Source organism: Homo sapiens, chromosome 4, assembly GCF_000001405.40.
Source record: "Homo sapiens chromosome 4, GRCh38.p14 Primary Assembly".
NCBI lineage: Eukaryota > Metazoa > Chordata > Mammalia > Primates > Hominidae > Homo > Homo sapiens.
In genome coordinates, this window is record NC_000004.12 from 81,172,030 (window position 1) to 81,198,005 (window position 25,976).

The 25,976-nt window shown below is 36.6% G+C and overlaps 1 protein-coding gene and 1 long non-coding RNA gene across 8 annotated transcripts in view; one reads left to right on the forward strand and one right to left on the reverse strand.

Moving 5' to 3' along the window:
* The window catches only part of PRKG2-AS1 (PRKG2 antisense RNA 1), a 28,456-nt gene extending 7,090 nt beyond the window's left edge, over positions 1–21,366 (forward strand). The window contains exons 2-5 of the long non-coding RNA NR_125908.1: positions 1,730–1,901; positions 3,415–3,562; positions 20,151–20,217; positions 21,031–21,366. This is a non-coding gene — a long non-coding RNA (PRKG2 antisense RNA 1). The remainder of the gene's footprint in view (positions 1–1,729; positions 1,902–3,414; positions 3,563–20,150; positions 20,218–21,030) is intronic.
* Positions 1–25,976, reverse strand: part of PRKG2 (protein kinase cGMP-dependent 2) — a 130,467-nt gene that overhangs the window by 84,660 nt on the left and 19,831 nt on the right. For all 7 annotated transcript variants that reach the window (XM_017008415.2, XM_017008416.2, XM_047415963.1 and 4 more), the window contains one exon: positions 2,764–2,930. In XM_017008415.2, coding sequence (XP_016863904.2) covers positions 2,764–2,930 — 167 coding nt within the window. The remainder of the gene's footprint in view (positions 1–2,763; positions 2,931–25,976) is intronic.

Below are 25,976 nucleotides of genomic sequence, written 5' to 3' on the forward strand. Positions count from 1 at the left end.
CATCAACGATGAGGATAATAATAATTATTATTATTATTTTACAGTGGCAAGAATGAAATAAGTTAATCTAGGTAAGGAATTTAGAACAATGGCTAGTGCATAGTAAATGCTGTGTGTTAGCTATTATTAATATTATTATTTTTACAATGTTATTTTCCTGAAGCAGTGGATGGCAAGTGTTTTGTTTAAAATTCATTATAACCTATGAGAAATGTAATACATGAAACTATTTCTCTTTTATGAGGAGCTCAACAATCACTGTATGTCATAAAAACACAGAGAAATTGTTCACAATGATGGAATGACAACCCGTCATAACCAGTAAGTAGATCAGCCCTGGAATCAGACTGCCTGGCTGTGTCCTGATTCAACTCATTTTTGCCTATGTGACCTTGGGCAAGTTACTTCATGGTGCCTCAATTGTTATCTAACCTCTAATTTATTTAAATGTAATACATATTAGTTACAAATGAAAATCACTAAGAAGAGTGTTTGGCACTTATTACCTGGGCAAAGACTGGAGGAAGGGAGAGGCAGAAGTTTGCATCCCCTTCACTATTTTTCTTTTTTTGCCTTGGCAGCTTTACTCTTCTTTTGCTTTGAACAAATACAAACAAAACCTTAACCAACTAAAAGCATAAGCAAAAAAGATCTAAGTTCTTAGAGGAAAAAAAAGTGATGGGGTAATATCTCCTTTCCTTAAAGAATTAGTCTTTCCTTTTCCTAATTCACTGCTAAGTAGCTCTGTATCATCTCTGTCCATCCCTTCATTCAGCAAAACTGATCCGAGTACCTATGTTGTGCTGGGAACTGTTCCAAGTGCCAGAGCCATAGAGAGGACAAAAGAGAAGATATCCTTAGCCTGATAGAATTTATACTAGCAAGGAAAAAAAACACTCAGTTCTGGCTCCAAATCCTAGAGGTTAGACATGCAATTTAAAATTTCTCATTAGCTAAATTCTATTCTATCAAAGCCACTTAGTGGTAGTGTCCAGTTGATATCATGAATCTTAATGCATTTCAAGTTTTTATCTTGAAATTGGTTATGGCTCATTGTGCCTGAGCAATGCTGAAGAATTATATGGAATATCAAAAGTTAAAGCTAAATATGCTTTTACTATTTGCTATTCATGCTATGTTTCATAAAGGGAATATTTTTAATTATCAAATTAATTTGCTCAACCAGATAATTAAACCAGGCAATTCAGTCCTTGGGTGACACTACAATTAATTCAAATAAGAAACCATCCAATTTTCATTTCCATGTGTGCCATAACTCTGATCTCAATAGCTGTTTTGATACTGACTTCTGTTCAACCTCTTCTCTCCCTGAGCCTTTCATCAGAACTACTTGGGAAGGAACGAGATAGGCTTACATCAGTTTCTCATCCTCTCCTAGGAGGTTTCATAAATATTTGTTGACTTAATGACCTATCTTCTCTTGCTGCAATACTCTAGTGTTGCTAAAGCAGAAGTTAAAATGGCTAAGAGAAAAGTTGCAAGAGGGAAAAGTTGTCCCTAAAAACTTGAAGGCTGGCTAAATTAAGACTATAACTCATTAATTAAGTAGAATGATTCCTTGGGAATGACTGTATAATTTTAAAGGTGCCTACAAAGATATATACGGCAAATAATAATCATAAAATTGGCATGTTCAAATAATCAACGTATATAAAACAATCTTTTATATACTATAAATAGAATAATACATGTTTATTAATTTGTTTAGATAGACAACTTCTGCCTCACACTTAAGGCCCCAAAGGAACAAGAATAAAAGCAATACTTAGATTATCAGGAACTACAATGCCAATGAAGGAATGACAACCATCATTGTTGTCAACAACATGTCAACAACATCAACAAATAGAAAGCATTCCTCCATTCATCACTCCTTCTGGGTAAGCCAGTTTTAACTTTTTTCCCTAAAACTCAAAAAGTTGTGCCAGAATGTGACAAAACGTTCTATAACTTTAATCCCTGTTTAGATAATTTTTTGCTTCTATATACAAAAGAGAAAAAAATTGAGTAGTCATTATAAGATCTATACATTACAAAAATAAATCATTTGCCTATCTAACCATTATAATCTTCCCAACTTGTAAGCATGTTCAAATTACCACAGATGAAGGAAACCATTTAAATAATTCTAAAAACACCGGTTTTAATTGTAAGATATGTCATTTGATTTGTGTGTTGGTCAAAAGTACCTAAATTATCTTTTTAAATCATTGGTATAAAACCAAAACATCTTCCAGAACCACAATAATAATTGTTTTCTTTTCTCCTGGTGCATTTCTTAAAATGTTAACTTCAGCAGCAGTATTTGAATAAAAACACTTTTTGAGCACATGGTATTGTGATTAGAAGTGCAGATTCTTAAGTCAAATTGCCTAAGTGTGCATTTTACCTCCACTGCTTATGATCTATGTGGCGTTACCCTCTCTGAGACATAGTCCATGTTAGTAACATGGAGAAAATAGAACTTGCCTTACAGGGTTGGTGAGAAGATAAAATGTGATCTCTCTATCAACTGCTCAATAGGATGCCTGATATATAGAAATTATTCAGCACATATTAAATATTACCATCAATTAAACATTACCATCATCATGATTAGATCAACAATTTTGCTATTTCATGATTCAATATGTTATGTTTTCTACAAATAGAGCAACCAGTTTTATGTTTTTATAAATGTTTGCAGAAAATCATAACAGGCAAAATATTTATTATATATCTGGAAAAATCTGTGAAACCCACCTGCCAGCACAAAGATATGGTTTCCTGGTTCTCCTTGCTTAATAATGTAACTCCCTTGCTGATAGTTTCTCCCATACATGCATTCCACCATGTCTTTGATCTGCTGAGGATCCAGTCTTTTCAGAAACTGATTTTTATTAAGGGCATCTGTAATGAGCTTCTTCTCACTGGTATAATGGAAAAGAGATGTTAGTTACAATTAATGAAAATCATGTTTTACTATTTAGATTCACTTTATTCTGATTCTCAATAATATTATCTACAAACTTATAACTTTCTAGCAAGAACAACCTTTTTCTAACCCCACCAAACATTTCACCCTTATAACTACCATAGCTTACATGAAAAACCTAAGAAAATGTTTTTGAATATTATTCTGATAGTCATCATGACACCAATATTATCATTCCTAATTGCCATCACCACAAATGTAGCATTTCTCAAGATCCATAGATGCACTACTAATGGACACATGATTTTTTAGATGGAAAGCAAATCTCATGGATACAAAGGAGTTGTATTTAAGGGACTACAATACAGTCTTCACTCACTGATGTATTCATGTATGCATAGTGCCTACAGTTGTAGTTATTTTATATTTTATTTAATCCTCATTATCATATTATGAGATAATTACTATTCCTATTTTAGGAAGAAGTAGACTAAGAGGTAAGAAGCAACTAATTTTTCATGGGATTTGAAACTAAGTAGGTGAATCTGAAGTCTGCGCTGCTTCCATTCCATCCCATTGTCTCTTCTGAGGGAGAAAGCTTCTAAGGGAGAAAGCCTTTGGGGCTTGGTAAGTTTGATCAGACATAGATGGTGACAGTGATAGTCTAGGTTTGACTAGGTTTTACTCTAGATATGGGTGGACTAGACAGAACTGACATTTCCAATCTCACAGTCCATTCTTTCCTCAAATCCAAGTTCTACTTGCTGATAATCCTATAATGCTCTGCTTTATTTTGGAAAAGATGTAGCTCAAGATAGCTACCCAATCTTCATTAACATAAATTTAAAATGTTTTAATGAAAATTATTCATATGTAGATATCATAAAATTATTGTGCTGCAAGAAAAGATGCTCTATGGGCTAAGTCAGATCTGCACAATATATTTACTCTCGATCATAAAACTCAGCATGATTTTTTAAGTACTTTTTTCTGTATCTTTCATTCAAACTCTCTCCCAATTACTGTTTGGAAGCTGGTGATCTTTTTCTACACAAAAAGTTTTCAAACAAAAGGTAAGACTTCATGAAATTAAATAATTCTTTCATGACTCTATCCATCATATCTTTAGGCTACATGAAGAAAACAGAATGAAGTCTTGTACAAAGAAATTTCTTCTTCCCTACAGTGACTCAAAGCTATTCAAATTATTTGAGTGCCTTGAGAAGTTCCATCTAATCTATTACTAAATCGTATCAATTTGTTTTAAAAAGTATCACTGTTATCCATTTTATTTCCCATTTTCAAGGATGGCACCACAGTCCAAGAACAAATCTTAGGTCTGGACAACTTTAAAATTTTATTTTCTTGGACTTAAGCTTCTAGCCGATTTTCCCTAAAATCCAACTGTATTATATCATCAGATTATTCTTGCTAAAAAAAAATTTAAAAATGGATTTCATGTTCATCCAATTCATTTTTATCCACTAAAGCCAACTCACTTAATATATATTGAGAACATATCTTTGCTAGGTAATTCTCTTAGTACAACTGGTAGAACTGTGAACAATATCAAGAAGCTCCAGCTTTCGCAGACTTTATATGTTAGTATAATATTCCAGTCAGTGTTTCCTCAATGCCCACATATACTAATTTTCCAAAGTATGTTCCAAGAACACTGTTTCTTTATAAGCAAAAGTGTGCTAAGTTTAAGCAACTTTGGAAATTTAAAATGCACACTTCAAAGAAGTCTTGCTGTAAACAAATCTCTTTAAACCAGTATTTCTGGAGCTTCAATGTCCTCTTTATTTCTTTCTTTTTTGGTTTAACTTCTTTCTTTTGGTTCTTCATTTCTTTTTGGTTTAACTTCATTCATTCAACATCCAACATTCCATGGAAGTACTCAAAAAGACTCTTTTGTCCATAGAAAAAAAAAATCAATATCCTACAACCCAGTATTTACTATTTTCTACAACATGGCTCCAATCTATCCATCTAGTACTTACTCCCTAAAACAAATTTTTTATTATAGATAAGCTGGTATCCTTATCATCCCCTATATCTTTGCCTTAAGAGATGGAACATGTTTTCTTTTGTGACTTAACTTACTTTTTACCCCTCAACCTTTCCAAACCTTATACATTCACCAAGAAACCCCTCATGATTTTAAATTGGATGATTTTAAATGGATGCTGCAGTTTACACCATCCTTTCTTTCTCCTGTGAATTCCTAGAGTACTTATATTCATATCTATTCTGCTTTTAAAATGTCATTAAGCACTTACTTAGGACATAAAAATTAATTAAACATGACCCATGGCCTCAAAAAGTTTCCAAACTTTTATAACTTGGTGTATAGACATATTGTAATAGTCTCTAATTAGTGAAATTATCTCTATGAATTTTTCTCAAAAGTAGATTATAAATTTAAAACAACTTATTTTAAAAATCTGGTAAGTTTCGGCCAGGCGCGGTGGCTCACGCCTGTAATCCCAGCACTTTGGGAGGCCGAGGCGGGCAGATCACGAGGTCAGGAGATCGAGACCATCCTGGCTAACACAGTGAAACCCCGTCTCTACTAATACAAAAAAATTAGCCGGGCATGGTGGTGGGTGCCTGTAGTCCCAGCTGTGGAGGCTGAGGCAGGAGAATGGCGTGAACCCAGAAGGCGGAAGTTGTAGTGAGCCGAGCTCGCGCCACTGCACTCCAGCCTGAGTGGCAGAGCAAGACTCCATCTCAAAAAAAAGAATATAAACTTTGCAACTCTTTCTACAACTATGACAGACCAGCTATTACCAGCATAACTCTTCCTGCTCCCACAAAACAACTATAAAAGCTGATTAGATAGATAGATAATCTATTGGAAGTATTGAAGATCTATCAACATAGCAACAACTTAGAGTCATGATCTACAAGAGAACATGAGGCTGACAGTCTCCTCAGCATTTCCTACAAGGCAGTTGCTGCTTTTCAGGCAGCTACTGAACACAGTCTTGGCTATCTCAAAGACAAAAGTTCAGGTTTAAAGCACACCATGAAGTGGGATGATAGGATGCTTAGTTCTTACTCCTAGGCTGCAGCCCTTCAGGTGTCCCATCTGAAATCCTGGGTGTCTACCTGGGGTCCTGGTAACCACCCAGGATTTCAGATGGGACACCTGAAGGGCTGCAGCCTAGGAGTAAGAACAAAGCAAAATAGGCTAGCTCTCAAAAACACTGAAAACCAGCTACCAAACCAACAAAACCCTATTTTGGTTACAACTATCAGCCACTAGCTTAACTGCCTGCCAGAAGTAAAAGTAAGCATTCTCCATTGGAAGTTCATAAAATCTAGACACTCAAATTTTCTCCACAGTTTTTTAAATAGGAAATATTTGTCATGACATCAGAAGTTACCAGGCATACTAAGAGAAAAGCCCAAATGACTAAGGACAGAGAGAAAAAAAGACAATAGAAACAGAACCATAGTAGATCAATATATTGCAGCTATCAGGTACAACTTTAACTGTAAGCAATATGCTTTCAGGACAAATGGAGATGTCAGTAGAAAACGTGAATATTTAAAGAAATCAAATGGAAATTCTAAAACTGAAAAACACAATATCTGAAGCTTGACACGCAAAAGATCAGTTTGCAATCCGATAAAATGCAGCTGATAATAATTAGAAACTAATTATAGGCAGCTAGAATATATTTATAGAAGATTGGAGAGAATCTAGGATGCAAAACAAAGCAAAACAAAAAACTAAAAATCAAAACATAAGAGATATATGAGGCATAATAGAGAAGTTGAACATACGTATAATCTGGGACCCTGAAGAAAGAGAAATAATTGAGCTGAAACAATATATGAAGGAATCATATTTAAGAGTTAGCTTAAATCAGGCAGAGTGCAGTGCCTCACGCCTGTAATCTCAGTACTCTGGGAGGCTGAGGTGGGCAGATTACAAAGTCAAGAGATAGAGACCATCCTGGCCAATATGGTGAAACTCCATCTCTACTAAAAATACAAAAAATAGCTGGTCGTGGTGGCAGGCGCCTGTAGTCCCAGCTACTTTGGAGGCTGAGGCAGGAGAATTGCTTGAACCCGGGAGGCAGAGGTTGCAGTGAGCCGAGATTGTGCCACTTGCACTCCAGCCTGGCAGCAGAGTGAGACTCTGTCCCAAAAACAAACAAAAAAAAAAAGAAAAGAAAAAAGAGTTAGCTTAAATCAATTAAAAAATGTCAAGCACAGACAAGATGCATTATAAACTCTGCATAAAATAAATACAAAGAAAACCATATCTAGGCCTACCATAGTCAAATTGCTGAAAAACCAAATACAATGAGAAAACTCTAAAAAGCAGCTAGAAAAAAAAGGCATTACTTTCAAATGACTAACTTACTCTTCAACAGAAATAACAGAAGCCAGAACACAGTAGCATATCTTAAAAGCGCTTCAAAGAGCCTATTTCAATATCTTTACCCAGTGAAAATCACCTTCAAAAATGAAGGCAAAAAGAAGATATTTTCAAAATGTTTTTCCATTGGCAACAGACTTGTAACCGTGAAGAGCTCCAGACAGAAGAAATATGATCTCAGATGGAAACTGGCAGATGTTAGAAGGAAGAAAGAGCAATGGAAAATATAAATCTATGGGTGATTAAAGAAAGCTTGTATTTATTAAAAAGCAATAATAATACCTTGTGCGGTGTAAAATATGTAAGAAATAAATGTAGAAAACAGCCAAAACTGCAGGGGAGGGAACAATAAATGGAGTTAACACAATTTAAGGTCCAGCAATTGATAAAAGTACTAATCTATGTTAAAAGTTTAGTAAGTTAAGGATGCATGCCATAATTTATAGTGAGGCCTACAAGATCAGTCAAAGAATGTTTAACTAGAAAGCTAACAAGGATAGGCCGGGCGCAGTAGCTCATGCTTGTAATCCCAGCACTTTAGGAGGCTGAAGGCAAATGGATCACCTGAGGTCAGGAGTTTGAGACCAGCTTGGCCAACCCCATCTCTACTAAAAACACAAAAATTAGCCAGGCATGGTAGCAGCCACCTGTAATCCCAGCTACTCGGGAGGCTGAGGCAGGAGAATTGCTTGAACCCGGGAGTCGGAGGTTGCAGTGAGCTGAGATCGCACCATTGCACTCCAGCCTGGGCAACAAGAGTGAAACTCCATCTCAAAAAAATAAAATTAAATAAATAAATAAATGAATGAATGAAAGCTAACAAGGATAAAATAGAATTAAAATATATACTTCATTAATCCTCAAAACATGGCAAACAAAAAGAGAAATTGAATAATATTAGATATTAGATTTAAGCCCAAATATTTTTTATTTACATTGGAGGTAAATATACCAAATACCCCAATTAAAAGACAAGCTTGTCAGACAAATGAAATAAAATTTAAGAGGAAATACCAAGTGTATATTGCTAATAAGATACATGCCTTAAAGATAATGTATGGAAAGGCTGAAAATAAAAAAGTGGAAAAAGATATACTATGTAAACATCAATTAAAAATAAATTTTTCTCTGATACAGGAAAGTAGACCTTAATAAAAAACATATTTCTAGAAATACAGAGGAATATTTCATATTTATATCATCAAGAATATCTAAATATTCCAAATATGTATCCACTTAATATGACAGTATCAAAATATATGGAGCAAAATTGGCAAAATTAAAAGAAAAAATAGACAAGTGTCCCACATTGATTCTGGGAGATTTTAACACATCTCTCTAATTAATAGAATAAGCCAACAAAAATTAGTAAATAGATCTGAATATTTGATTATTGAACTTTATTGAATCTCTTGAACTCACTGATATTTTAAATATCTCTTCAATAAATTCAGAATACACATTCATTACTTTTTTTATTATTATTATTGTACTTTAAGTTTTAGGGTACATGTGCACAATGTGCAGGTTTGTTACATATGTATACATGTGCCATGTTGGTGTGCTGCACCCTAATTAACTCATCATTTAGCATTAGGTATATCTCCTAGCTATCCCTCCCCCCTCCCCCCACCCCACAGCAGTCCCCGGAGTGTGATGTTCCCCTTCCTGTGTCCATGTGTTCTCAATGTTCAAGTCCCACCTATGAGTGAGAACATGCAGATACACATTCATTTCTAGTGCACATTAAACAATCATAAAAACTGACCACATGGCAAACCACAAATCATTTCAACACATTTCATAAGACTGAAGTAATACAGAGTATATTCTTTAAATATAGTATTAATAGAATAAAGCTAGAAATTAATAACAGAAAAATCATAAAATCCTCAAATGTTTGAGAATTGAACAATACATTTCTAAACAACCCATTGGTCAAAAATTAAGTTATAAGAAAAGCCAAATCATATTTTGAAATAAATAATAAAATATGACATAAAACTTGTAAGATGCAGTTAAAATGATGCATAGAAGAAAATTTATGATGTCAAATTATATAATAAAATAAATATTATAAATGAGCGTCCTAAGCGTCCATCTCAAAAGACTAGAAAAAGTAAGTTGAACTCAAAAAAGGAAGGAAGAAAATAACACAATGACAGCAGAAAATAATAAAACAGGAAAAAAGAAATATAATGAAGAGAATCAACACAGCCCAAAATAATTTCTTTGAAAAAAATAATAAAATGATAATTCACAACAAGACAGGACTTGAGTAAGAGAGGGAGGAGGTATAATTACTATTACTAGAAATAAGAAGAAGACATCACTATGGATATTACAGTTATAAAAAAAGAAATGAGTAGTATGAACAACTTTATAGTTAAAAATTAAACTGCATTCTTGCCAAAATAGTTGTTCATACTATGTAGTCCAGCATCAAAAAATTCAAAATAAAATTTTTAAAATGACATCATTTAAAATAGTTTCAAAAACATCAAGTATGGAAAATTGTGATGAAATGAAAAAAATTTCTAGAAAAATAAACTACCAAACCTGAGCCAAGAGGAAATAGAAAATCTGATTAGCAATAAAGAAACTAAATCAAATATAAAAACTATCCCACCCAAAAAAGTCTAAACCCAGATGACCTTATTATTAAGCCTTATAGATATTTAAAGGAAAATTAATATTAAATTTATGTAATATTTTCCAGAAAACAGGAAAGACGAATTTTTCCCGATTCATTTTATAGTGCCAGAATAGCCTGATAAGGAGTTATACTACAAAAAAGAAAAATAAAATATAATATCCCTAATGAATAGAGGGACAAAAGTAAAAAACAAAACAAAGTATAAAAAATAAATATTCTAGATTAGATTGAACATTAACATAATTATCAACATGAAAAGAATAAAGGAGAAAAATGTAGCAAATATAATGGGATGCAGAAAGAGTATTTGGTAAAATTAAACACCTGTAATAATTTTTGAATTAAGAAATACTTTTGGCAAATTAAGTATAGAGGAAAATCTCCTTAATCTGATAAAATACATCTATAAAACAAACAAAAACAAAAACACATCATATTATATCGTGAAACATTGAAAGCTTTCCTACAGACATCAGAAATGGGACACTTTAATCCTGAATCAGAAGTCTGAGCAAATTTAATAAAGGGAGAAAGAAAAGAAACAAAAAGAACAAAAATAAAATATGTAAACATAGGAAAAGAAAAAAGTAAACTGTATTCTTTCCAAAAGATATGATTATGTATGTGAAAAATTCAAAAGAAAGTACAGGTAAACCACCAATATCAACAGGTGATTTCAACAATCTCACTTGATATAAAGTCAATATACAAATTTAATTGTATTTCTATATTCTAGTATTAAACAATTAACATTAAAAAATTTTAAATAATTCAAAACAGTATCAACTATGAAGGATTATATCTAACAAAGATAAGTAAGATGTCTACACAGAAGAATACAAAATATTATTAAAAGAATGAGAGAAAACCTAACTAAATGGAGGAATATACCATGGTCATAGATTAGAAGACTATATTTTTAATTATGTTAATTATATTCAGGTTGATCAGGTTCAATGAAATCCCAATCAATGCTCTAAATTTAAAAATTTATGAAAATTGAGAAGCTGATATTAAATTCTTATAGTCATAAAAAGGCCCAAGACTAGCTTCACAACATTGAAGAATAAAAATTACAACACTTAAAGTAATGGATATCAAAAATTATGATGAATGAAAATAATTAAGAGAATATATACTACTGGCACAACAATGGATAAAAAGACTTTTGGGGAGTGGCTGGCAAGATGGCCAAATAGGAACAGCTCCAGTCTGCAGCTTCCAGCGAGATCAATGCAGAAGGTGAGTGATCTCTACATTTCCAGCTGAGGTACCCAGCTCATCTCACTGGGACTGGTTAGAGAGTGGGTGCAGCCCACGGAGGGCAAGCTGAGCAGGGTGAGGCATCGCCTCACCCAGAAGGACAAGGGGTCGAGGAACTCCCTCCCCTAGCCAAGGGAAGCCATGAGGGACTGCACCATGAGGAATGGTGTACTCAGGCCCAGATAGTACGCTTTTCCCATGGTCTTCACAACCTGCAGACCAGGAGATTCCCTTGGGTGCCTATGACACCAGGGCCCTGGGTTTCAAGCACAAAACTGGGCGGCCATTTGGACAGACACTGAGCTAGCTGCAGGAATTTTTTTTTTTCATACCCCCGTGGTGCCTGGAATGCCAGAAAGACAGAATCGTTCACTCCCCTGAAAAGGGGGCTGAAGCCAGGGAGCCAAGCAGTCTAGCTCAGCGGATCCCACCCCCACAGAGACCAGCAAGCTAAGATCCACTAGCTTGAAATTCTCACTGCCAGTACAGCAGTCTGAAGTCAACCTGGAACACTCGAGCTTAGTGGGGGAAGGGGTGTCTGCCATTATTAAGGCTTCAGTAGGCGGTTTTCCCCTCATAGTGAAAACAAAGCTGCAGGGAAGTTCAAACTAGGTGGAGCCCACCACAGCTCTGCAAAGATGCTGCGGCCTGACTGCCTCTCTAGATTCCCCCTCTCTGGGCAGAGCATCTCTGAGAGAAAGGCAGCAGCCCCAGGAAGGGGTTAATAGATAAAACTCCCATCTCCCTGGAACAGAGCACCTGGGGGAAAGGGCAGCAGTAAGTGCAGCTTCAGCAGACTTAAATGATCCTGCCTGCTGGCTCTGAAGAGAGCAGCGTATCTCCCAGCACAGAGCTCGAGCTCTGCTAAGGGACAGACTGCCTCCTCAAGTGGGTCCCTGAACTGCCATGCGTACTGACTGGGAGACACCTCCCAGCAGGGGTCGACAGACACCTCATACAGGAGAGCTCCAGCTGGCATCTGTCAGGTACCCCTCTGGGATGAAGCTTCCAGAAGAAGAACAGGCAGCAATCTTTGCTGTTCTGTAGACTCTGCTGGTGATACCCATGCAAACAGGATCTGGAGTGGACTTCCAGCAAACTCCAGCAGACCTGCAGCAGAGGGGCCTATTAGAAGGAAAACTAACAAACAGAAAGGAATAGCATCAACATCAACAAAATGGATGCCCACACAGAAACCCCATCTGAAGGTCACCAACATCAAAGACCAAAGTAGATAAATCCATGAAGATGAGGAAAAACCAGTACAAAAAGGCTGAAAATTCCAAAAACCAGAATGCCTCCCCTCCAAAGGACCACAGCTCCTCACCAGCCAGGGGGACAAACCTGGACAGAAAATGAGTTTGATGAATTGACAGAAGTAGGCTTCAGAAGGAGGGTAATAACAAAATCCTCTGAGATAAGGGAGCATGTTCTAACCCAATGCAAGGAAACTAAGAATGTTGAAAAAGGGTTAGAGGAATTGCTAACTAGAATAACCAGTTTAGAGAAGAACATAAATGACCTGATGAAGCTTAAAAACACAGCAAGAGAACTTTGAGAAGCATATACAAGTATTGATAGTTGAATCAATCAAGCGAAAGAAAGGATATCAGAGATTGAAGATCAACTTAATGAAATAAAGAGTGAATACAAAGTAAGAGAAAAAAGAATGAAAAGGAATGAACAAAGCCTAATATGTGAAAAGACCAAACTTACATTTGAGTGGTATACCTGAAAGTGATGGGGAGAATGGAACCAAGTTGGAAAACACTCTGCAGGATATTATCCAGGAGAACTTCCCCAACCTAGCAAGACAGGGCAACAATCAAATTCAGGAAATATAGAGAACACCACAAAGATAGTCCTCAAGAAGAGCAACCCCAAGAAACATAATCATCAGATTCACCAAGGTTGAAATGGAGAAAAAATGTTAAGGGCAGCCAGAGAGAAAGGTCGGGTTACTCACAAAGAGAAGCCCATCAGACTAACAGTGGATCTCTGTGTAGAAACCGTACAAGCCAGTAGAGAGTGGGGGCCAATATTCAACATTCTTAAAGAAAAGAATTTTCAACCCAGACTTTCATATCCAGCCAAACTAAGCTTTATAAGCAAAGGAGAAATAAAATCCTTTACAAACAAGCAAATGCTGAGAGATTTTGTCACCACCAGGCCTGCCTTACAAGAGCTCCTGAAGGAAGCACTAAATATGGAAAGGAGAAACCAGTACCAGCCACTGCAAAAACATACCAAATTGTAAAGACCATCAACACTATGAAGAAACCACATCAACTAATGGGCAAAATAACCAGCTAGCATCATGACTGGATCAAATTTACACATAATAATATTAACCTTAAATGTAAATGGGCTAAATGCCCCACTTAAAAGACACAGACTTGGCAAACTGGATAGAGTCAAGACCCCTCGGGGTGCTGTGTTCAGGAGATCCATCTCACATGCAAACACAAACACAGGCTCAAAAAAAGGGATGGTGGAATATTTACCAAGCAAATGGAAAGCAACAAAAAGCAAAAGTTGCAATCATAGTCTCTGATAAAACAGACTTTAAACCTACAAAGATCAAAAAAGACAAAGAAGAGCATTACATAATGGTAAAGGAATCAATGCAACAAGAAGAGCTAATTATCCTAAATACATATGCACCCAATAAAGGAGCACGCAGATCAATAAAGCAAGTTATTAGAAACCTACAAAGAGACTTAGCCTCCCACACAATAGTAGCGGGAGACTTCAACGCCCCACTGTCAATATTAGACAGATCAACAAGACAGAAAAATAACAAGGATATTCAGGACTTGATTCAGCTCTGGACCAAGCAGACCTAACAGATCCCTACAGAACTCTCCACCCCAAATCAACAGAATATACATTCTTCTCAGCGCCACACCACACTTATTCTAAAATCGACCACATAATTGGAAATAAAACACTCCTCAGCAAATGCAAAAGAATGGAAATCATAAAAAACAAACTCTCAGACCACAGTGCAATGAAATTAGAACTCAAGATTAAGAAACTCACTCAAAACTGCACAACTATATGGAAACTGAACAACCTGCTCCTGAATGACTACTGGGTAAATAACAAAATTAAGGCAGAAATAAATAAGTTCTTTGAAACCAATGAGAACAAAGACACAATGTACCAGAATTTCTGGGACACAGCTAAAGCAGTGTTTAGAGGGAAATTTATACCACTCAATGCCCACAGGAGAAAGTGGGAAAGATCTAAAATTGACACCCTAACATCACAATTAAAAGATCTAGAGAAGCAAGAGCAAACAAACTCAAAAGCTAGCAGAAGACAAGAAATAACTAAGATCAGAACAGAACTGAAGGAGAAAGAGACATGAAAAACCCTTCAAAAAAAATCAATGAATCCAGAAGCTGGTTTTTGGAAAAGATTAACAAAATAGATAGACCCCTAGCCAGACTAATAAAGAAGAAAAGAGAGAAGAGTCCAACAGACACAATAACAAACGATAAAGGGGATATCAACACTGATCCCACATAAATACAAACTACCATCAGAGAATACTATAAACACCTCTACTCAAATAAACTAGAAAATCTAGAAGAAATGGATAAATACCTGGACACATAAACCCTCCCAAGATTAGACCAGGAACAAGTCAAATGCCTCAACAGACCAATAACAAGTTCAGAAATTGAGGCAGTAATTAATAGCCTACCAATCAAAAAAAGCCCAAAACCAGACAGATTCACAGCGAAATTCTACCAGATATACAAAGAGGAGCTGATACCATTCCTTCTGAAACTATTCCAAACAATAGAAAAAGAGGGACTCCTCCCTAACTCATTTTATGAGGCCAGCATCATCCTGATACCAAAACCTGGCAGAGACACAACAAAAAAAGAAAATTTCAGGCCAATATCCCCAATGAACATTGATGCAAAAATCCTCAATAAAATACTGGGAAACCGAATCCAGCAGCACATCAAAAAGCTTATCCACTAGGATAAAGTCGGCTTCATCCTTGGGATGCAAGGCTGGTTCAACATATGCAAATCAAAAAATGTAATCCATCACATAAACAGAACCAATGACAAAAACCACATGATTATCTCAATAGATGCAGAAAAGGACTTCAACAAAATTCAACACCCCTATGTGCTAAAAACTCTCAATGAACTACGAGCGTATCTCAGAATAATAAGAGCTATTTATGACAAACCCACAGCTAATATCATACTGAATGGGCAAAATCTGGAAGCATTCCCTTTAAAATCTGGTACAAGTCAAGGCTGTCCTCTCACCACTCCTATTCAACATAGTATTGGAAGTTCTGGCCAGGGCAATCAGGCAAGAGAAAAAAAATAAAGGGTATTCAAATAGGAAAAGAGGAAGTCAAATTGTCTCTGTTTGCAGATGACATGATTGTATATTTCGCAAACCCCATCGTCTCAGCCCAAAATCACCTTAAGCTGATAAGCAACTTCATCAAATCTCAGGATCCTAAATCAATGTGCAAAAATCACAAGCATTCCTATACACCAATAACAGACAAACAGAACTGGATCCCTTCCTTACACCTTATACAAAAATCAATTCAAGATGGATTAAAGACTTAAACGTTAGACCTAAAACCATAAAAACCCTAGAAGAAAACCTAGGCATTACCATTCAGGACATAGGCATGGGCAAGGACTTCATGTCTAAAACACCAAAAGCAATGGCAACAAAAGCCAAAATTGATAAATGGGATCTCATTAAACTAAAGAGCTTCTGCATAGCAAAAGAAACTACCATCAGAGTGAACAGGCAACCTACAAAATGGGAGAAAATTTTTGCAACCTACTCATCTGACAAAGGGCTAATTTCCAGAATCTACAATGAACTCAAACAAATTTACAAGAAAAAAACAAACAACCCCATCAAACAGTGGGTGAAGGACATGAACAGACACTTCTCAAAAGAAGACATTTATGCAGCCAAAAAACACATGAAAAAATGCTCACCATCACTGGCCATCAGAGAAATGCAAATCAAAACCACAATGAGATACCATCTCACATCAGTTAGAATGGCAATCATTAAAAAGTCAGGAAACAACAGGTGCTGGAGAGGATGTGGAGAAATAGGAACACTTTGACACTGTTGGTGGGACTGTAAACTAGTTCAACCCCTGTGGAAGTCAGTGTGGTGATTCCTTAGGGATCTAGAACTAGAAATACCATTTGACCCAGCCATCCCATTACTGGGTATATACCCAAAGGACTATAAATCATGCTGCTATAAAGACACATGCACATGTATGTTTATTGCGGCACTATTCACAATAGCAAAGACGTGGAACCAACCCAAATGTCCAACAATGATAGACTGGATTAAGAAAATGTGGCACATATACACCATGGAATACTATGCAGCCATAAAAAATGATGAGTTCATGTCCTTTGTAGGGACATGGATGAAATTGGAAACCATCATTCTCAGTAAACTATCGCAAGAACAAAAAACGAAACACCGCATATTCTCACTCATAGGTGGGAATTGAACAATGAGATCACATGGACACAGGAAGGGGAATATCACACTCTGGGGACTGTGGTGGGGTCGGGGGAGGGGGGAGGGATAGCATTGGGAGATATACCTAATGCTAGATGACACGTTAGTGGGTGCAGCGCACCAGCATGGCACATGTATACATATGTAACTAACCTGCACAATGTGCACATGTACCCTAAAACTTAAAGTATAATAATAATAATAAAAAAAGAAAAAAAAAAGATTAAAAAAAATAATAAAAAAAAAAAAAAAAAAAAAAAAAAGAAGCTAGCAATTGCACAATGTTTCAGTAGAGCACCAAGGAAAAATACAGGTTTTTACCTTAAAGTGACAATTCAAATACTTCTATTTCTAATTACATATCTGTCTTATTGTTTTGCCATCTAAATTTTTATCCTGTAGCATAAAGCATTTAAAATGTCGTTTCTGTATGTTCTGGCCCCATCCCTAGAATGAGTTCTTTCTGAAGAGAAAGATTTTGTCTTATTTAATCTTTTTGTCTTATTTTATTATTGCTACATCTTCAGAAATAATAAAAATGTCAACACACACAAAAAAAAAGAAAATGTGGCACATATACACCATGGAATACTATGCAGCCATAAAAAATGATGAGTTCATGTCCTTTGTAGGGACATGGATGAAACTGGAAATCATCATTCTCAGTAAACTATCGCAAGAACAAAAAACCAAACACCGCGTATTCTCACTCATAGGTGGGAATTGAACAATGAGAACACATGGACACAGGAAGGGGAACATCACACTCTGGGGACTGTTGTGGGGTAGAGGGAGTGGGGAGGGATAGCTTTAGGAGATATACCTAATGCTAAATGACGAGTTAATGGGTGCAGCACACCAGCCTGGCACATGTATACATATGTAACTAACCTGCACGTTGTGCACATGTACCCTAAAACTTAAAGTATAATAAGAATAATAATAAAAAGAAAAAAAACAGACAGAGAGCCAAATCATGAGTGAACTCCCATTCACAATTGCTACAAAGAGAATAAAATACCAAGGAATACAACTTACAAGGGATGTGAAGGACCTCTTCATGGAGAACTACAAACCACTCTGCAAGGAAATAAGAGAGAACACAAACAAATGGAAAAACATTCCATGCTTATGGATAGGAAGAATCAGTATTGTGAAAATGGCCATACTGCCCAAAGTAATTTATAGATTCAATGCTATCCCCATCAAGCTACCATTGATTTCCATCACAGAATTAGAAAAACCTACTTTAAATTTCATATGAAACCAAAAAAGAGCCGGGATAGCCAAGACAATCCTAAGCAAAAAGAACAAAACTGGAGGCATCATGCTACCTGACTTCAAACTATTGGACATGGCTATAGTAACCAAAACAGCATGGTACTGGTACCAAAACAGATATGTAGACCAATGGAACAGAACAGAGGCCTCAGAAATAGTGCCACACATCTACAACCATCTGATCTTTGACAAACAAGCAATCTGATCTTTGACACAAACAAGCAATCAAGAAAGGATTCCCTACTTAATAAATGGTGTTGGGAAAACTGGCTAGCCATATGCAGAAAACTGAAACTGGACCCCTTCCTTAAAACTTATACAAAAAGTAACTCAAGATGCATTAAAGACTTAAATATAAGACCTAAAACCATAAAAACCCTAGAAGAGGCAATACCCCATTCAGGACATAGGCATGGGCAAAGACTTCATGACTAAAACACCAAAAGCAATGGTAACAAAAGCCAAAATTGACAAATGGGATCTAATTAAACTAAAGAGCTTCTGCACAGCAAAAGAAAATGTCATCAGAATGAACAGGCAACCTACAGAATGGGAGAAAAAGTTTGCAATCTTTCTATTTGACAAAGGGCTAATATCCAGAATCCCCAAATAACTGAAACAAATCTACGAGAAAAAAAATAACTCCATCAAAAAGTGGGTGAAGAATATGAATAGACACTTCTGAAAAGAAGACATTTATGCAGCCAACAGACATGAAAAAAAGCTCAACATCACTGGTCATTAGAAAAATGCAAATCAAAACCACAATGAGATGCCATCTCATGCCAGGTAGAATGGTGATCATTAAAAAGTCAGGAAACAACAGATGCTGGAGAGGATGTGGAGAAACAGGAACACTTCTACACTGTTGGTGGGAGTGTAAATTAATTCAACCATTGTGGAAGACAGTGTGGCGATTCCTCAAGGATCTAGAACCAGAAATACCATTTGACCCAGCACACCCATTACTTGGTATATACCCACAGGATTATAAATCATTCTACTATAAAGATACACACACACGTATGTTTATTGCAGCACTGTTAGCAATAGCAAAGACTTGGAACCAATCCAAATGCCCATCAGTGATAAACTGGATAAAGAAAATGTGGCACATATACACCACGGAATACTATGCAGCCATAAAAAAGGATGAGTTCATGTCCCTTGGAGGGACATGGATGAAGCTGGAAACCATCATTCTCAGCAAACTAACACAGGAACAGAAAACAAAACACCACATGTTCTCACTCATAAGTGGGAGATGAACAATGAGAGCACATGGACTCAGGGAGGGGAACATCATACACTGGGGCCTGTCAGGGGGTTGGGGGCTGGAGAAGGGATAGTATTAGGAGAAATACCTAATGTAGATGAGGGGTTGATGGGTGCAGCAAAACCAGCATGGCACGTGTATACCTATGTAACAAACCTGCACCTTCTGCACGTGTATCCCAGAACTTAAAGGATAATATTAATAATAAAAATAAAAAAAGAATTCTGGGACAGAAAAGAAAATTCAAAAATTGACCTACACATTCATAGATTCCTGATTTATGACAACAGTTGTACTACAGAGCTATGGGAGATAAACAGACCTCAACAGAAAATATACACATCGAAAAGGGCTCACCATTGTTAATTATCAAGGAAAAGAAAACTAAAAGGACACTGAGACACCACAAAATGTCCAGCAGAATGGCCAAAATGAAAAAGACTGACTGAATGCTGTTGAATGCATGAAGTCATTTAATACACATATGTGTTGGTGGGAGTATATATTTGTTTAATCATTTTGGAAAGTTATTTGGCCATCTATATTAAACTTGGATATAATGTACTACCCAGTAACTTCACTCCTAGGTTTATACCCATCATAATTCATATACAAGACATGTACAAAAATGTTCATGGCAGCATTATTCATAAATGCTAAATACCAGAATTAACCAAATGCCTATAAATCATAGAATGATTAAATTGTATATAGTCATACAGGAAATACTATATAGCAATGACAATTAGTGAACCTCTGTTACATACAATAACATAAATGAATCTCACTCTAGGAACAAAAGAAGCCAGAGTCTTTAGAGTACACACTCCGTACTTCCATTAAATAAATTTCAACAACAGGTAAAAAGTACTATGTCTGATAAAAGTAGTGCAAATAGTAGCTCCCTTTAAAAGGGAAGATAATGGGTAGAAATTGAAAGAGGGCATGAGGGGCTTCCAAGGTGCTAGTAATGTTTATTTTCTGATCATTTTGGTGGTCACATGGGTATGTTCACTTTACTTTTTGTGTACTTCAATTAAAAATTCATTTTAAAAAATATGTATGACTTTGGAATCAGAAAATCTTAGGTTGAAATATCAGGTCTGGCACTACCTAGCTTCAATTTTAGCATACATGCTGCCAGCACCTTCCTTGCTTCATTATATTGGACAAGTAACTTAGGCTTTCTGAATCTCAGATCTCTCATCTATGAATAGGCATAGTAATTATGCCTACTTCATAGGAATATTATGCACATTAACTTAAATAACGTGCCAGTAACTTAATAAATGGTAGTCATAGTAGCTGGAAATGGTAGAAGTCTTTCTGGGGGAAAGAGTGGAATGAGAAAAGTTATGAAAACCATAGAACAAGGAGGCACTGACGAGACCCTCTGCTCAGTTCAAAGTTCCTCCAATGGGGCTGGATGTTGAATTCATGCCCATTTGAGGTGGCAGCAGTAATCCTTTTGTAATCACTTTATACCCCCAACTTACACAGTCAACATTTCTTGAAGCAATAAATTTTCATCCTCTAAGTTGCTTCAGGAAGTTTAACTTGGCAAAGTTCACCTACAGTTGTATTAGGCTCTCAATCTTTCTTCTCTGGGCTCATATATTAGAGGTCCGTGTTCTCACTGTTGTTTTTTGTTTTTTGTTTTTTGTTTTTTCCAGGTCAAAGCATGTATCTTGCAACCTTCTTTGAATAAGGCTCAGTGCAAAGCTGGGGCCAGTGACCTTGACCTTCCTTCATCCCTATCTATCAAGGATTTTTTGTGAGCATAAGAGGCAGCAACTTTACTTGTATTTCATTTCATAGCTTAATTATATCTACATGCAATTAGAAAACATATGGTAAGGCATATTTGTGAAGGTCACAAAATCTAGTAGAGCTGGAATGCCAGGATTTGATTCCAACTTCTGCCACTTACTAACTGCGGAACCTTAGGCAAGTCACTGAACCCCTAAGTTTCCTCAGCTGTAAAACAATAATAAACAGAGTCTACAGGTCACAGATTTCTATGAGAATTAAATTAGTTAACAAAATAAAGCACTAAGAACTGTGCCTGGTACATAAAATATACTGCATGAGGGTTAGCTATCACCACAATAAGTAGGCAAGTTACCAACACCTTAAACGCTGAGTTAGAACAAATCTAAAAACTCTATGCTGGCCAGGCGCGATGGCTCACACCTGTAATCCCAGCACTTTGGGAGGCCAAGGTGGGCAGATCACCTGAGGTCAGGAGTTCTAGACCAGCCTGGCCAACATGGTGCAACCCCATCTCTACTAAAAATACAAAAATTAGCAGGGTGTGGTGGTGGGCGCCCGTAATCCCAGTTACTCAGGAGGCAGAGGCAGGAGAATCGCTTGAGCCCACAAGGCAGAGGTTGCAGTGAGCTGAGATCACACTACGGCACTCCAGCCTAGGCAACAGACAGAGCAAAACTCCATCTCAAAAATAAATTAACAAACAAACAAAAACTGTATATTTAAGACCTACCTTTACTTATTGAAGGAGGCCACTTCAAAATGGTAATGCTCCTTTCCTGTCTAGGTTCCCCATACTTAGGGTACCCCAGACCCACCAAACCACACAGTGCCAGGCCTCTTTGTCTCCTATAATCTATTCCTCCTTAAAAACCCAGCTAGAGATTTTCTCTTCTACCCTACCAAGTAAAGAATGTGCCCGCTTTCCTTTGCATGCCTATCTCTTAGAATATTAATCCCATAAATTATAATTTCCCCAAAGAGACACTGATCTTCAAGGGTATGACTGTGTTTTTCTTATTACTTAATACCTAGAACTGTATTTTGCACATATTAGAAACTTGACAAAATTAAGAAACCCAAAGGACATTCAAATTCTTTCTCCCAATTTAAAAATTATGGGTACAGGGACAAGAGTGGAGTTGGAAAACGTCAGTCACCCTAATAAACAAGGCACATTTAATAAACAGGATACGCATCTCTATTTTCTTCCCCATCCCCAGATAATTGTTTTTGAGTGATGAACCAAAAAAAAAAAAACCTAATAAATGCACAAGTTTATAATTTGAGAAACTAGCGTGACAAAAATGAGGTCATCCCATGGATGTCATAAAATAAGCATGACTTTCTTCTCTCAATTCTTTTACTTATTGCCCATATAATTAAATACAGTTGTAATTTAATTCTGTTGGCTGTTATTTCATGCTCACAACAAAACATTTCTCTCTCTCTCTTCCTTAAGTTTGTGTAGATGATTTTATTCCCATGAGCATCAAAGAGCAGGGTTTAACAATGAAATGTTGAAAACAATCAAAACTTACAAAGAAGTTTATCTGACACACTCAATGACAGGCATAATTATCATTGTGTTGCATGGTAATTAGGTATAAAAGGCAAACAGTTCCTTTAAATGTCTCTAATTAGTACTGCTCTTAAATCTTCAAACCAAGTAGTTGAGGAGTCAGCGGCAGGGAAACCTGCTCCTATAACACAATGCTCCTCAATGGTGGCTTCATATGAGAATCAGCAGGGGAGCTTTTAATATACATATATATATATACGCACCTATAATCCATATGCCCAGGGCTCTTGCCTCAAATCAATTTAGTTAGAATACCTGGGGGTTAGACCCAGGCATCAGTACTTCTTATTACAGGTGATTACAATGTAAACTTAAGATTAAGGATTACAGCTGTAAACAACAACATGGAAGAGAGTTGAAGTTGTCCCTTCCCTCTATATTTCCACAGCACTAGGAACATGCTCTACTGAAGGCTCATCAATTAATCAATCAATTAGGTAATTAACAAGTATTGATTAACAATGATCAATTAATGTTTGTTACAAGAATTTGACATAGCTTGTTCTCTTCTGCAATATAATACACAAGTGAGAAAATCCCTACTCTCCTCTCCCTCCTCCCAGCATTCTGTCTGGAACCTGAAACGTGGCCTGGCACCTAGAAACATGCTGTCAAGTTAGCCTCAGTGTGTGAACTTTTTTTTAATTTTAATAAAATATACATAACATAAAATGTATCATTTTAACCATTTATAAGTGAACAGTTTAGTAGCAATAAGTATATTCTCATTGTTTTACAACCATCACCACCATCTATCTCCAGAATCTTCCCAAACTGGAACTCTGTACCTATTATATATTCCCTGGGTCTCCTCACCCCTCCTGCTCCTGGCAATCTCCATTCTAATTTCTGTCTCGATGAATTTGACGATTCGAGGTACCTCATATAAATGGAATCCTGCATTTGTCTTTTTAAGTCTGGCTAATGTCTGCAAGCTTCATTCCTGCTGTAGTATGTGTCAGAGTTCCTCTGTAAGGCTGAATAATATCCCATTGCATGTATATACTACATTTTGTTTCTCCATTCATCTGTTGACGGACACGGGGTTGTTTCTGCTTTTTGGCTACTATGAATAACACTGCTATAAGCATGGATGTACAAGATTTTTTATGCATGGCTTTACCTACCCGGCATAGCCAATATTCCTAAACAGGAATCTCACACCAGAGAAGCAAAAGGCTTGGTGAATGAGGAGTGAGGACCTGTGACTTGCTCCTCATCAACAAAACACAGCAATGATGACGGAAGGCCATTCCTGGGTAGGTTATATAAGACTTCATCTTAGTTAACTGTAAAGGGCTTATCCAGCTGAGTCTGAAGAAGTAAGCTGCCATGCTATGAGAGGGCCTGTGAGAGGGACGCAAGGCAGGAACTCTAGGCAGCCTCTAGGAGCTGAGAGCAGCCCCAGCTGACAGCTAGCAAGAAAATGGGGACCTCAGCCCTACAACCACAAGGAATTGAATTTGGCCAACAATCACGTAAGCTGGGAAGAGGACCTCTTCCTGTAGAAAGCTCTAGAAATGAACACGGCCAGTTGACCCTTTGACTGCAGCCTTGTGGCTGACGTCAGAGAAGATGACTTAAATAAGTCACACCTGGACTCTTGGCCCACTGCAAACTGAGATAGCAAATATGTGTTGTTTAAGCTACTAAGTTTGTGGTAATTTATTGCACAGCAATAGAAAACCAATATGCTTGCATTTCCTGAGTTTCTGTTGACAAGAAATTTCAAGTTGTATCTTGTTCTTCTCACTTGTACTTCCTCTTTCCTCATCTCACCTGGAAAGAGGGAACTGGAAGCTCTAGGTCTTTCTTTCTCTCATATTTCCCAGAGCTTAATCTGTAAGCCCCAAAAAGACCATTTAAACACCTGCTTGAAATTTACCAATTAAAATTGATTTGGCATCACAAATAACCCAAGAAGGATTAAACAGATGTTGGGGGACCCTGATGACTCGCATTTTATTATAAAATATATATAAAATATAAAATATTCTCTGGCCATTCCTGGCTATAGATCTCAAAAAAGAAAGAAAGAAAGAAAGAAACCTGTCACACATAACTGCACTTTAAAATCTACAACTAACAAATACCTCTAGGGAGAGTCAGCAGAAAGAAGACAAATCATTTTAAAGTGAGACTTTAATGAAAAGAAACACTTTTAGTTAAAGGATAGATACAAGAAATGTACCTTTCACAAAGAACGGACTTCCAAAGTGTCTGAAAATCGAAACGTTTCATCCTTGTCTTCAGATCTGTTCCCCTTCTTGAGAATTGTATTGCAATTTAAACTCTAGAAAGAGGCGACAGGAGCTGAGCTGCTCAGGCTTATGGAAAGAAAAGGGAGGTTCTGTGGAAACTGAATGCTGCTCACTAGGAGGCAAAGGCCAGTGGTGATGTTTCTCTCTTATCCAGCAAGCAAGAAAAAGAAAGACCACTGTCCACTGTCTTCTCAATGACGCTATTTCTACTACAGTCCTTCCTGGGTATCTAGCAAGGAATGGGCAGTGTCCAGAATGTTTTTGAGAAAAGAAAAAAAAAGGGTCAAAAGGAGCCACCCATTTCAGAGGACATTTAGAAAATGTAAGGGAGAAGAGGTGAAGGCTCCTGCCCAGGCAACCAGGACCCTTGTTAAAAGCCAGCACTGCTCAAACTCACCTGGAATAACCAATTTGGAACCAAGCAGATCCAGAAACTGCTATAAATATCCTACATAAATTAAAACAATAGCAAGCGAAATAAAATGAGAATAGATTTCAGAGTTGTTGTGATTAAGAGGCAGATGTTTTAACATCTAGGTGAGTTTATAGAAGCCTTAGCCACTACTAGTGATAACCATGGGCTAGTTACTTACTCTTAATAAGCCTCATATAATAATACTTACCAGATAGGTTAACTGTGAAAATAAGTGAGATAACTATAGATAGGTCATAGCAGAGTGTACCAAATAAGATACTCAAAATTGGTAGTATTGGCCATTGACTAGTCAGATATTGAGAATGAGAGAAGATTAGGAAGAAACCAAATTAAAGAATTAGTGAAAAAAAAATGAAGGAGGGAAGACAACATGAAATAAGGAAAAGGGAAGCAAACGTGGAAGAAAATATTAAAGAATTGGATTCATTGATTCAATATTCAATAAATATTTATTGCATTGGATGTATTAATCTGAAGGAGTAAAGGGAAACTTGGACATTAAAGCTGCTCAGCCAAGGCTAGGTACTGGGTCCAAAAGTGCCATGGTTTTTGTGTAGTGTAAAAATAGCA